The 14,602-nt window shown below is 35.4% G+C and overlaps 1 protein-coding gene across 2 annotated transcripts; it reads left to right on the top strand.

Moving 5' to 3' along the window:
- The first annotated feature begins 232 nt into the window (after positions 1-232).
- AMY1B (amylase alpha 1B) lies at positions 233-9,271 on the top strand. Of its 2 annotated transcripts, none has more exons than NM_001386925.1 (11): positions 233-402; positions 1,001-1,214; positions 1,560-1,706; positions 2,510-2,707; positions 3,156-3,386; positions 4,126-4,259; positions 5,076-5,198; positions 5,293-5,392; positions 7,374-7,492; positions 7,603-7,728; positions 9,048-9,271. In NM_001386925.1, the coding sequence occupies exons 2-11, from the start codon at positions 1,047-1,049 to the stop codon at positions 9,235-9,237; spliced, it is 1,536 nt and encodes a 511-aa protein (NP_001373854.1). In that variant the 5' UTR covers positions 233-402; positions 1,001-1,046; the 3' UTR covers positions 9,238-9,271. The 2 variants fall into 2 exon arrangements, with proteins under 2 accessions (NP_001373854.1, NP_001008219.1); NM_001008218.2 differs by lacking the exon at positions 233-402 and adding an exon at positions 476-644.
- The last annotated feature ends 5,331 nt before the right edge of the window (positions 9,272-14,602 follow it).

The raw sequence follows: 14,602 nt of genomic DNA, 5'->3' as shown, positions 1-14,602 counted from the left end.
ACTACATGCACCCGTGGTCAGGGAGAAACAGAATACGGAAGGGAGTTTCACAATGTTCTTCTATACAATGTCTGGAATCTATGAATAACATCGGCTTCTAAATCATAAGTTGATTTGTAACTACTGGGTTTAGGCCAACCAGGCCCAGGCCTGGTTTTGTGCCTTTGATTTTGCTTCCTTGTTGTTTTTACTGAATAGAAAACAATATAAAACAAGAGGACAGGGTCTTTCTCTCTTCTCAATATCAGCACTGGATTGTAGAACTTGTTGCTGATTTTGGCCTGGCATTCAAGTTAACTCTTCCCCTTGGTATCTGTACATACCTTTGATGTCAGTGTTTAGTACACGTGGCTTGGTCACTTCATGGCTAAAAACGTGCTTGTGGAAGACAAGTCTGGCTTGGTGAGTCTGTGTGGTCAGCAGTCTCTGATCCGTGCAGGGTATTAATGTGTCAGGGCTGAGTGTTCTGAGATTTATCTAGAGGCTGGGAAGGGCTCCTGAACCAGTTGTTTCCGTCTTGTCGGTCTGTCAGGGTTGGAAAGTCCAAGCCATAGGACCCAGTTTCCTTTCTTAGCTTACGTTATCTACCAGAGCACCGTGGGCTGTTACTTGCCTTGAGTTGGAAGCGGTTCGCATTTATACCGGTAAATGTATTCATCCTTTTAATTTATGTAAAGTTTTTTAGTATGCAATTCTCGATCTTTTAAGAGTTGACAACAAATTTTGGTTTTCTGCTGTTATGTGAGAACATTAGGCCACAGCAACATGTCATTGTGTAAGGAAAAATAAAAGTGCTACCATATGCAAAAAAAAAAAAAAAAGAAAAGAAAAGAAACATTAATGTCTAAGAGGTCATTGAGATGATTTCCATGAGAGACTTTTTGATGTTCTTCACCAGTTAGGATTATTATTGATAATCCTTTTCAGATTATGAATAAACAGTTTGCCCTCAAGTATTTATTCATGCTACTATTTACATTGTAAAATGTGCTTCTTACAGGAATATAAATAGTTTCTGGAAAGGACACTGACAACTTCAAAGCAAAATGAAGCTCTTTTGGTTGCTTTTCACCATTGGGTTCTGCTGGGCTCAGTATTCCTCAAATACACAACAAGGACGAACATCTATTGTTCATCTGTTTGAATGGCGATGGGTTGATATTGCTCTTGAATGTGAGCGATATTTAGCTCCCAAGGGATTTGGAGGGGTTCAGGTGGGTATGATTCATAGTATCAATTGCAGAATTCACTGTGCTTGTAGTAAACACTATTCTGATCTTCTACGTGAAGCTTGGGCAACATTTTACTTCACAGGTAAGTATTCTAAGTAAAAGAATTTTCTGAGGAAAAAACAATGTAGTATTCTTTGCAACTGTATATTTTGTTTCTGATATAATCTTTCTTCAACAAGAGCCCTCCGATGTGCTGTTAATATTTTCAAGAGATAGCTGCCTATACCAAGATTCAAGAATCTTTTGTATTATTGATTAGATTCTAGAACATTCAATGATATACAGTAAGACAGAATTTGGTACTTATGAAGACTGTTTAATTTGTAGGTCTCTCCACCAAATGAAAATGTTGCCATTCACAACCCTTTCAGACCTTGGTGGGAAAGATACCAACCAGTTAGCTATAAATTATGCACAAGATCTGGAAATGAAGATGAATTTAGAAACATGGTGACTAGATGCAACAATGTTGGGGTAAGTGAATTCTAGTTTCCTTTAAAAATAACAGATAGGAAAATGATTTCTGTCTCTTCTTTCTTGCTCCTTTTGAGCAGAAAGTTTTCCATATCAGTTTTAATTTTACTTCATACTTTAAAACTCAAAAGTAACTGTCACCTTATGTTCAATTTTTGAAAATATTTGTATATGTGCTCTCTACTAAAGAGATAAGTTAAAGTTTATAGCAGAGTTTACTTCTGAAGCAAAACATCAAATTTTAACCGCTATAACTATCCATATTTCCTGGAAGGATTTTCTGGTGAGGAATTTTAATTCCAGTTACAATATTTGCTCTCATTTTTAGATGACTTGTGTCTCCATTCCTAATTCTTGGGTTTTTTTTGTGGTGAATAGGTAGCTTATCTATTTAATGAGGAGCAGAATTTGAGATGAATAGCTACCTTATTTGTCTTCCAAGCTTAGTAGAGAGTACAGGCTTTCTCCTGGTGACCCACTGAAATTTCCCAAATAGTAACCTTTTCAGTCTCATCTGAGTTGTGTCTCCCCAAAATGGGCTTTTTGCCTTTCCTCCTATTTATGGTAGTTTCCGGTTCTCTCAGTTTATCATTCCTATATATATTTGGCCAAGTGTCTGGAATGAATGTAGGTGTTTAGTTCACATTACTTTCCTTTCACAGTTGATTTTTGATCTTGTAGGAAAATAGTTATAAGGTATGAAATATTTTGGAATTTTATTAGCACACTATAAATTTAATCAATAATTCTTTAAATTTCTGCCTCTCTGTAAGTCACACTGAATTAGAAACTTTGTTTTCTAGGTTCGTATTTATGTGGATGCTGTAATTAATCATATGTGTGGTAATGCTGTGAGTGCAGGAACAAGCAGTACCTGTGGAAGTTACTTCAACCCTGGAAGTAGGGACTTTCCAGCAGTCCCATATTCTGGATGGGATTTTAATGATGGTAAATGTAAAACTGGAAGTGGAGATATCGAGAACTATAATGATGCTACTCAGGTAATTTTTTTACGAGAGTGATCTGAATAAGGAGTGATATATGCCTTTTGTTGTAGACATGTAGCTAATTGAACTTCGTTGTAAATATGAATTTAGATCTCTTAGGGACAGAGGTTAACAAGTTTGACTACTTTAAGAAACTCAAATCCATATTTGAAAACCTTTAAATATTGATTTAAGATTTTTAATCAATACACATTTGTCCACTTTTAAAAAGCTCCCAACCAATTGAAAAACTCATCGACTTTATTTCCTAAGTTCTCTATTTTCTATTAGAAAATATTTCCAAGATACATCTATAGTAGAATGTGAGCATCCCCAGTGTCCAATGCAAGGAAGTCACCATAGAATATCTCTTGAGGAATCATGGAATAAATGAATAATCAAATGGATTCTCAGGCGAAAAGTGAGGTTTTATTAATCAATCATAACATTCTTACCTCAACAGGTCAGAGATTGTCGTCTGTCTGGTCTTCTCGATCTTGCACTGGGGAAGGATTATGTGCGTTCTAAGATTGCCGAATATATGAACCATCTCATTGACATTGGTGTTGCAGGGTTCAGAATTGATGCTTCCAAGCACATGTGGCCTGGAGACATAAAGGCAATTTTGGACAAACTGCATAATCTAAACAGTAACTGGTTCCCGGAAGGTAGTAAACCTTTCATTTACCAGGAGGTACGTCAATACATATAGGCATATAAAATATCATCCTATTCATTAGAAAATTCACGGCAGATTCAATTAAAAATGCAATTTCTGTAGGATAAAGACTGAGTCATTTCCTTAAAACAGTGTTCTTTAACCTCCTCTTCTTCACATACAGCATATCTAATTCTTTATCACAACAGGTTTTATGGAGGTACACAGAATGTAGGATACTGATAATAGTTATGTCTTTATTTTCTTTGGAAAATGAAATGAGTTAATATTTATCAAAAAAAGTCAGTCAGATAGTAAATATCGTATTCCTGTGAGCTGTTATTATTATCATTGATGTACAAGACTAAAAATTAGGTAAGTATTCTCACAGGACAACAGGTAACTTTGACATTATGTTTCTTTCAATATTGTAGTGTATACTTTATCAAAAAAAGAATATAAGAATATTACCGATGAAGATAATAAGAATAAGAAAACGATTTTGAGCGTTTCATATAACAAATAGGACCAGGCGTGGTGGCTCTTGCATGTAACTCAGCACTTTGGGAGGCTGAGGCAGGAGAATTCCTTGAGGCCTGGAGTTTGGGACCATCCTGGACGATATAGCAAGACCCTGTCTCTAAAGAACAAAGCACAACAAGTCTAAAATAACTCAGAAATAGCTGAAAGCTAATTTTTATATAATATAAACTTATCGGTTAAAATGCTTTAAAGTCCTTATGCAAAATGTTTTTTTTTCCTAAATTTCTTCTAGGTAATTGATCTGGGTGGTGAGCCAATTAAAAGCAGTGACTACTTTGGTAATGGCCGGGTGACAGAATTCAAGTATGGTGCAAAACTCGGCACAGTTATTCGCAAGTGGAATGGAGAGAAGATGTCTTACTTAAAGTAAATAAATACAACTTTTCCCCTGAACTATTTCATAGATCTGTTAGTCATACTACCCCAGTGCGAGTTATCTTCTGGAACATTCTTATTCAGACAACTATTAAGGAGTCAGTTGTTAATGATAAGTATTCTAGTGCCCTAAACTCTAATCAATCATCTTTTGTATTTAGAGTGTCTGTCACAAGACAGTATGCCTAGGAACGCTAAACTTACCCTAGGAGTTTCTGTCTGCGTACAAGATGAATATACTGGATTTGACTGATGTTTGCATATAATCTTTTAAAGCCAGGTTATTATTAAAATGATCCTATCATTTATAAAGTATGTACAAAGTGTCCATGCTATTGTATTTACTTATACGAATTGGAAATGTAAAATGATTTATATTATAACAATACAATATTAAAGCCTTATTTTAATCTAGTTTGACATTCTGTATAATGTGATGTGGATATTGATCCTTCTGGAGTGCCTCTAAATGATAATGTGCTGAAACCTCTGAAAGGAAATTTTTTAATAACAAACATTTTATATTTGTAATATGAATATAAGTATTCCATACATGTATATACAAATATGGACTATATATATGTAGATTACACACGTGTGTTTGTTTATGAGGTGTGTGTGTATATATATGTGAGTGTGTGTTTGTGTGTGTGTGTGTATATATATATATCTTACAGAGTAACCATCTAATTAGAGAAAGAATTTAATCTTCAGATGCCATGCCTTACAGAAAGAGATGCACAGTAGAGTTACTCTCAAACTATTGTGAAATGATACATCAACGTATATCTTATGTTTCAAAAATAGGAACTGGGGAGAAGGTTGGGGTTTCATGCCTTCTGACAGAGCGCTTGTCTTTGTGGATAACCATGACAATCAACGAGGACATGGCGCTGGAGGAGCCTCTATACTTACCTTCTGGGATGCTAGGTAGAAAACCAAGTTCTCTATTTTTTTAACACCTCTTTTAATGATGGTATGAATATTGTGATATTCTATGATAATATAATTATGTAACTTTCAGGCTGTACAAAATGGCAGTTGGATTTATGCTTGCTCATCCTTATGGATTTACACGAGTAATGTCAAGCTACCGTTGGCCAAGATATTTTGAAAATGGAAAAGTAAGTTTTGGAGTTGTTCAAAATATCCTTTTCTCAAGAAAAAAGAGGCAATCTTCTCCTAATTTAATATGACAACTATTAAGTGTTTATTTATTCAACAAATATTTAATTATTGTAAACCTGATACAGGGTTGTGATTTAGTAATGCAGGTTATATTAAAGGAATAAACTTTATATTCTCCATTGAAAAAGAATAGCAAGCTTTTTCAGAGATATGACAAACATCCCCCTAGCCCGCAGGGAAAATAAAAATAAAAATTAAAAAAACCACTTAAAAATAAGAGCTAGGCACAGGGATTAAAATATATACTTCGTACCTTCCTCAGGTTTAATTGGAAGAATATAGATGCCAACCCTTGTAGAGAACTTAAAACATCATCTGCCCGTAGTGAGAACAATATAAATGTCTTTTAAATACTGTTAAAAAGTTATATGGAATAGAAACAAATGATCCAGTTCAGCTGAGTTAAATAGGGAAAGTATACTATAAGAGGAAGGAAATTGTATGTACTAAAGGATAGAAATTTATAGAGAGTATTCCAAGAAAGGTAAGAATGAGAAAAATATTTGGGAGTATGGTAAAGACATCACTCTGCTGAGTAGTTTCAAAAAGGAACAGAGAAATAAGAGTGTAAAGATATTTGGAAAGCTAGTAGAAGGTTTTCTTTTAAACTAAAGGGTTGAGAAACAGCATCAGAGACTTCAGAACTAAAGCAGAAATTCCTCCTTCCTATGAGTCACACAGATATCTAGCTAGCTTTTTTTAGATTCCTTTCAGTTTGAGAAGTCCGCTACTATGTATAACAACTGATTCTATTGTTAAACAGCTTTAATATTTAGAAGGTGTACTTTTATATTGAGACAACTTCTTATAATTTCTACTAATTGGTCTTATTTCTGTTGTTAGGAGTCAGAGAGTTCTTTTATTTTTTCTATTACTATAACATTCCCACTTTGACAGGACTGCTGCATGCTATAAACTCTTAAGTTTTGTTCACTTTTCACCATATGACGTGATTTTAAGGTGAACACTGATAAACTTCCTAGGGTTACTCTGTGTTTTTTAATGAAGATTTCTTAAAGTGCCAATCAGAAAAGCATAATACTAAAAATATGGTCAATTTATAAAAAAAAAATGTTCAGATGTAGTATTTTGTACATTTATCTAAAAAGAAGCATGACGGCCTCCAATATTTATTTAGCATATGTCATGTTCAAGGCATTTTCACATATATTACTTAATTTTTATAGCAAAAGAACTCATTATTCTCATTTTACAAATGAGGAAACTGAGACACAGAGAAATTATTTATATTGATTAAATTTTCTCAGCTACTAGTAATAGAGCCTATGTTTTAATCCTGGTGTTTCTAGTACTAATGCCCTTCCCATTTCAATGCCATTGCATGGCTTACAGTGATGTTAAGAAGCCCTTGCAGGCCAGGTGCAGTGGCTCACACCTATAATCCCAGCACTGTGTGCGGCCAGCTGAGAAGGTCAGCTGACCTGAGGAGTTCAAGACCTATCTGGGCAAGCTAGCAAGACCTTGCCTCTACTGAAAATTAAAAAAAAAAAAAAAATTAGCTGGGTGCGGTGGTGCACACCAACAGTCTTAGCTACTTGGGAGGCTGAGATGGGAGGTTCGCTTGAGCCTCGGAGATCAAGGCTGCAGTGAGCTACGATCATGCCACTGTACTCCAGCCTGGGTGACAGAGCAAAGAAGTCTTTGCAGTGCCTTGGAATGAAAAGGAGAGGATAACAATTTGCTACCTTTGTTTGAAATATGGCAAAAGAGAACCAGAGGATAGAGAGATGATGAAGACCCAGTAAAGGGCTATAAAAATCAATGAAGGCATTGGATTCTAGATAAAGTCACTGAATGCAGAGACACAAGTAACAGGATAGGTTGGGTTTGGTTTAAAGGAGAAGGAAGAGATAAATATATATATGCTAAAATTTGGCTTTTCCTCCTGTAATTAAGGATGTTAATGATTGGGTTGGGCCACCAAATGATAATGGAGTAACTAAAGAAGTTACTATTAATCCAGACACTACTTGTGGCAATGACTGGGTCTGTGAACATCGATGGCGCCAAATAAGGTGAGAATATGTATTTAGACATGTCCTCTAATAGTAAATTTCCGTAGCACTTTATTTAAAACAGTTGAAGTTTAAGAATATCAACGTTTTATATGGTATTGTGTTTTTAGGAACATGGTTAATTTCCGCAATGTAGTGGATGGCCAGCCTTTTACAAACTGGTATGATAATGGGAGCAACCAAGTGGCTTTTGGGAGAGGAAACAGAGGATTCATTGTTTTCAACAATGATGACTGGTAAGTAAATATCAATTAAAAATAATATTTTGTACCAGTATGTTCTTGGTTTATTCTTTTTTTTTTCTGTTCATTGACATTTATCATATCTGAAAAATCATGTAGTCAGTGGAGCGAGAAGACAATAGAGATCAAAATTGGGTAGAAGCAAAAGGATGATGGCTGTTACTCCTTCGTTCTCCTGTTTTCATAAGGGCTTTCTGTTGTAAGCAGAATCCTTTCTGTGCACCCTTGCAATATCTTATGCATATATAGAATGCACATTCATATGCTTACCTACACATGCCACAAAATACACAAAGTAATTAATAGAAGGATTGTGAAATCATTAAAAGAACGTTTCTTATAGTCCTGCTCTTTTAATCATGGAAAAATGCTGCCTCAGTACTAAAATATCTTTATTTCTCTTTTTCTCAATGACAGCTCTACCTAGTTTTTTGGTATACTTTCTTCACTTCTCTGTCTCCTTGTGACAAATAACATTTTTAAAGCATATGGATAAATAATATGTATCTTGTGGTTAATGATTTGCTTCAGGAGACTTGAGTTTTAGTTCTGAAACTTCTCATTATTGGCCTTTCATCTGTGATTTTTGTATCCTTTGGCTGTAGTATAAATGATTCCCGAAACTGTAGCTGAGAAGACCTCCTTGCAAACAGTTGAATTGTCTCTGTCCAAGGCCAACTGACACTCATACTTAGCTCACTCTAGTATAAATTATACTTCACTTATGAAAAATAAATAAATACAAAAATATATAAGTCAAGTTGATCTCTTTCCTGCCAAAAAAATGCGTGTCTATTTCCTTAGTTTCCTTCTTTTGTGGATGAAAATACCAAAAAAATCTTTTGTGAAAAAGCTTTATATTTCAAACTATCACTTCCTCATACAAATGCTAGATTGTTTTTATGTACACCCTAAATTCTTTTTGACCTCATGTAGAATAAAAGAAGGTTAAAAAAATAATACCCTTTAAATTTTTAAAGTAATTGGCATTAAGTTCAGTTGAGAAAAAATTTGATTTTACCAAGGTAGCACTTTATCAAAATGTGACCGCTCCCGCCAATCTTCGGTGATATTCTTCAACTTTGATTTTTCGGTTATATTTTCACTACTGAAAAGGAAATTGGTAGGTTTTCTGTAAGGTTACTTTTGGTCCTAGAAAGCTGTTTACACCTACTAGGGAGGCATATGGGTTTTCTTCTTAATGAGACTTCACTGCTTAGGGTTCTAAAACATAAAGTTATGCTGTTTATTTGTGTTAGTCTGTATTCTTGATTTCATTGTTTTGAAGTTAAATCTGAAATTTTATTTTACAGGACATTTTCTTTAACTTTGCAAACTGGTCTTCCTGCTGGCACATACTGTGATGTCATTTCTGGAGATAAAATTAATGGCAACTGCACAGGCATTAAAATCTACGTTTCTGATGATGGCAAAGCTCATTTTTCTATTAGTAACTCTGCTGAAGATCCATTTATTGCAATTCATGCTGAATCTAAATTGTAAAATTTAAAATTAAATGCAAATCCGCAAAGCAATAGCTAAGTGTGTTTCTTTTCTTACATATACAGTAATAGTTACATATCATTAATTTTAAATAAAAGCTCTAATTAGTAAAAAGAGGTTTAAGACACTTGATAGTATGAAATACAATTCCAGGTTACACATAAGTTATTTATTTTGGCAAAAGGATGACTCAAAAATTTTAAAACTAGGCAACAATCTTTACTCATTAAGAGGTAAGACTTAGCTTTCCAAACAGTTTGTCTCCTGTCTACTCTTTTCTCTCCTTGGCATTCTACCAACAAGGCAAACCAAATATTTCATTATTCTTCTCTATTACATGAAAAATCTGTACAAGGGAAGGAAAGCCAAATTTTACCCTTACATAGGTTTCAAAAGAATCCTTTTTCCATAGGCAACATTTACATTTTTATGCCTTTTTATAATCTTTTACCACAAACACATTTAAGTGTTCCTACACACCTTGCATGTAAATTTATTTTTAGTTGTCTTATTTACATATTTTTATGGTCAATCTTAGCAATTTTTAACTTTAATGTAAACCTGGTAAGTTGTTTTAATTATGTACTAGATGCAGATAAAGTCTGACTTTTTCCATTCTAGTTAGGGCATGGTTAATTTCATATGTCCCCAGGCCTTACCAAGTTGTAAAGTAGGCAGCCTACAACCTTGAAATATTTAGCAAGCCTTTTATCTAATTTATGTGATTTAAACCTGCTATTTACATATTGATGATATTTGCATTTTCCAATTTGATCTTTAAAACAGTTTTTATTTCTTAGAGTTTAAAAACACATAAACTAAAAGGCATTACGGTTTTAACTTTCCTCTAAAATATTTGATTTAAGTGCTTATTTTTATTTAAGGCAATCAATTGGTCCTCGTTACAGACATCACACACAACACATATATTGCTACACAGACAAACAGAAGAAGATCCAGTAGCTCTAAGATTTCTTCTCGTCCCATTTCCTAATTGCATTACTGGCTTCCCAGTAGAGCCCTTTAAGAACAGGGATAGCAAACCACGAAGTTTCTAGGGCCTAATCAACTTGTATAGCTGTAAGACAAAAACAGATTTTGAGCAGGATTGATCAGCCTCTAGATTCTGGGATTCCATGAGGAAAACAGAGGTTTCTCCCAAAATGGAATCCATCATGCATTTTCTGTTTTTCCCAAAACGTTTCAGGCCACCAGAAGTTATCTTGTGTGCATTAAGAGTGGAAAGACAGAGTGGAGAACAGTAATTCAGTCAATGGAAAAGTTCTTTTCAAGAAAAACACGATCCAAGAAGACAAAAACATGCAGGTCTTTTAAATATACCTATAACTTGAATATCCACTTTTAATCAAGCTCAGCACCCTTTCAGAAAATCCTTTGACATCTTCTGTTTCCTGACTTTAGCTAAATCAAGCAGGTAATATTTCTGGCTTTTGAATTTTACCAAAGGTAACATCACAGGGGAAACTAAAAACTCTCCGTTAGGTTATAAGTTCACCGTTAGTATACAAGATATTTTATAAGTGGTGGTAAGCAGCTTTTACCAGATCTAGAACCTTTAAAGTCAGTTGAGAGAAAGGAAGATTTCAGAAAGGCAGTTAGAGTTTTTCATGGCGGAGCACGAGATGATTAAACGTCACACAGTTGTTAACTGGAAAGTATTCATCACCCAGGCTGGGATTGAACCTGGGTCACCATTGTAAAAAGGCAACGGCTGAAAAGTGGTACTACCACATGGTTACAGGTTATGCTTAAGGACATAAAACAAGTCGGAGACATGCAGCAAAGTTTGTTACTGACCAGTTTATGAGGGTGTCTTGAACAGTGAGCTCAAGGAGTCTCAGGCCTGGATTCCATTCCAAGGTACCCTCTGTCTGACTTTTTCTTCTATTTTCTCTCCTTTTCCTGAGCCTCCTCCTAGTACGTCTTATGAAAGACTGAGGTGGCTACTCTTAGAAGGTTTTCTAAGGTGCCTTCTAGTCCTATAGCCTGTTTCTGTAGCTTCCTTCAAATATCAGGAGCTGCTTGAGTAAACCTGTCTTTCAAGATGAGCTGTCCCTCAATTGAATTACGAGATAGGGAAGCATGTTTTGCCAAAGTCTCTCTCAGCCTTTATAAAAAGGCTGAGGGATTTTCATCTGGGTTTTGATCTATCATGGATAGCTTAGAGTAGTTAACAGGTTTGGCTCTGGTCCCCTGTAAGACTTCTACCGTATACATCTGAAAGTGTTTCTATTTTTCAATCATCTATGGGCTTAGTAGAGTTCCAATTAGAGTTTTCAAGGGATACTGCCTCTTTTCCTACTGGGAATGGGGATTCTGCCTGTTTCTCACCCTCTTTCCCTTTTTGACTGGCTATAGGAAACATGCTGCTCATCTCTGATTTTTTCTGCTACCTGTAGGGCTGCCTGTCTCTCAACAGCAGTTAGGGTTTCAGAGTAACATAACATCCTTCTAGGAGAGTTTAAATACTTGGGTTATATCCTGGAAGGCCTCTATACATGAGAGAAGTTGGCACTTGCCCAGAGCGAACTTCAGGCTCTGAAGTCTAAAGAATAACTCAAGGGGAATGCAGGCTTGAAGATGGGGTGTTACCCATGCATAAAAAGAGGGGAGTAGAAGGTGTCCCTTAGTCTCCTTTCAACTTTTGAAGTGACCCAGGTTGAAGAGAAAGATTACAGGGGTGTCCCTCTTCTCTTTCCTCCCATCTCCTTTGGGTCCTGGCAACCATCATAGGTGCAGCCCATGGATGCAAGCATGAATTGCACCCATGTATCTGGAGGTGCTAGTTGGCAGGGGTAGTCATGCTTACCAGCACAATGCCTCATCTCACTGCCCTTCTGGGTTCCTAGGCCTCCCAGGAGATTGTACAGTAGATAAAGTTGGGTGAGACACTTTAACAGAGGGAGTGTTTTAACCCTATTCCTGCTTCCTCTAGCTATGGCCCTGGAAAAGCAGTGCATTCCCAGAAAATTTTACCCATTGCCTTTTAAACACAAAATCCCCTTTCTGATTAAATGCCAATGTTGTTGGAAGCAGAACAGGTGCCTCAAAAGAACATATGGATTTAATGGCTGTCCTCCTTCTGATGGGAACAGCACTGAGGCTAGAATTTGTCTCTCAAGGGTGGCTTCCTCCCAACTGTTGAATGCGGAGTTTTTTTCCCTACAAATGGGGCATAGAGTCTGCTTGCTGACAGAGGAACACAAAAGTGGAAGAAATCTGGGTATTAGAGGTTTTTGGCAAAGGGCCAACAAGACTCTATGCAGAAAAAAATCCTATCTCATGAGGTGGTGCTGTAGGTTTTGAAAATTTAGGTAAAATCTGTGACTCTAAATTTCTTCCAGGCAGAAGCTAGAAAGAGAGGTTTGAGGTTTAACAGACTGTCACTATATATGCCTCCCAGCTGTAGAAAATTAACTTGTCTCATTAATAAACTGTTCAAATTCATTTAGCAGTGGTGAGCTTTTACATGAAGGAAAAGCAACTAAAATGGAGAGGGATGAGGGTATTCACTCGGGATGAAATATCTTTTCATAGAGTACCATGAATGACTGTTATTGTGGGACAAAAAGCACTTACTGGGTGAAGGTTTAGACTGAAATCTTGAAATCCCCTGGTATTTTGAGTTTCTGCTTAGCCTTTCCAAAGGAATAAAATCAGATATGTATCTATCTCAGTGAGCAGAGGAGTGACTTTGAGTAGAATGGGAGGAAGGTTTGTCCTAGGCAGTTTCCCGCTTGAATTTTCCCTAGTGATTTCAGGGGCCCAGTATATTGTCCTTTCACACATCTGACAAGTAATTGATAACCAGAATATCTAAGCAGCTCAAACAATTCTAGAGGAAACATATCTAATAGTTGGATCAAAAAGTGGGCAAAAGATTTAAATAGACATTTCTCAAAAGCAGACAGACATATGGCAAACAAGCAAATGAAAATGTGCTCAACATCATCGATCAGAGAAATACAAATAATAACTACAATGAGATATTATCTCACCCCAGTTAAAATGGCTTTTATATAAAGACAGGCAATAAGGATTGCTGGTGAGGATGTGGAGTAAAGTGAACCATCATACACTTTTTATGGTTATGTAAATTAGTACAGCTGCTATGGAAAACAGTTTGGAGGTTCATCAAAAAACTAAAAATAGAGCTATGATGTGATCCAGCAATCTCACAGCTAGGTATATACCCAAAAGTAAGAAAATCAGTATATTGAAATGATATCTGCACTCCCATGTTTATTCCAGCCCTGTTCACAATAGCTAAGACTTGGAAACAACCTAAATATCCATCAACAGATGAATGGATAAAGAAAATGTGGTACATACATACAATGGAGTACTATTCAGCTATAAAAAAAAATGAGATCCTGTCATTTGCAACAACATAGATGGAACTGTACATTATTATGTGAAGTAAAATAAGCCAGGCCCAGAAAGACAAACATCACATGTTCTCATTTATTTGTGGGAGCTAGAAATACAAACAGTGGAACTCATGGTCATAAAGAGTAGAAAGATGGTTACTAGAGGCTGAGAAGGGTGGATGGGAAGCAAGTGGGAATGTTCAATGGGTATAGAAAACAGAAGAATGAAAAAGACCTAGTATTTGACAGCACAACAGGGTGACTATAGTCAATAACAACTTAATTGTGCATTTTAAAATAAATAAAAGAATATAATTGGATTGTAACATAAAGGATAAATGCTTGTGGTGATGGATAACCCATTTACCCTAATGTTATTATTACACATTGTCTGCCTGTATCAAAATATGACACATGCCCTGTAAGTTTATACACCTGCAATGTACCAACAACAATTAAAAATTTAAAAAGGTGTATCCTTCCCAGTGAACCAAAATATTTTACATTGATAACTTTTAAGTTATCATAGTGTGTTGGAATAATCACAGCTTTGGAAAGAAAAAAATTATAGATATAAACTTTCAAAGATGGCAGGAGATATAGATCTCTCTTTAGTGGATTAAAATATGCCATTTGTTATTAACATCACACTGAGATTTTTTAACACAGGACATCTTCTGGAAATGATATGATTATAGGAGTTATAGGAAAAAGCGTTTTTTCATACTGTGATTACCTATGCTATGAAGAAAGGAGATATTTCCTCTATGATGTCTAATTTAGCATAATTATTGTTTTTAAACTATATTTAGATTTAATTAAGAGATACACAAACAAATTACTTTTAGTAGTAAGAAGATTTTTAAAAATTTTTTGTGTAAGATGACTATGTAGTAAAGAAGGTTACAAACTTACTTTTTAACGTAGAAAAATAATCTCACCTTCTTGCCCCATGGAAAATTGAAATGTTATGT

Source organism: Homo sapiens, chromosome 1, assembly GCF_000001405.40.
Source record: "Homo sapiens chromosome 1, GRCh38.p14 Primary Assembly".
NCBI classification, from domain to species: Eukaryota; Metazoa; Chordata; class Mammalia; order Primates; family Hominidae; genus Homo; species Homo sapiens.
This window is presented reverse-complemented; position numbering and strand designations above follow the sequence as displayed.

Bases quoted from the DNA above. Each gene is read 5' to 3' on its own strand.
- AMY1B (NM_001386925.1), top strand. From the start codon at position 1,047: ATGAAGCTCTTTTGGTTGCTTTTCACCATTGGGTTCTGCTGGGCTCAG. The intron at 1,215-1,559 runs GTGGGTATGATT...TTTAATTTGTAG, and splicing joins AGGGATTTGGAGGGGTTCAG to GTCTCTCCACCAAATGAAAA. The intron at 7,729-9,047 runs GTAAGTAAATAT...TTTATTTTACAG, and splicing joins GTTTTCAACAATGATGACTG to GACATTTTCTTTAACTTTGC.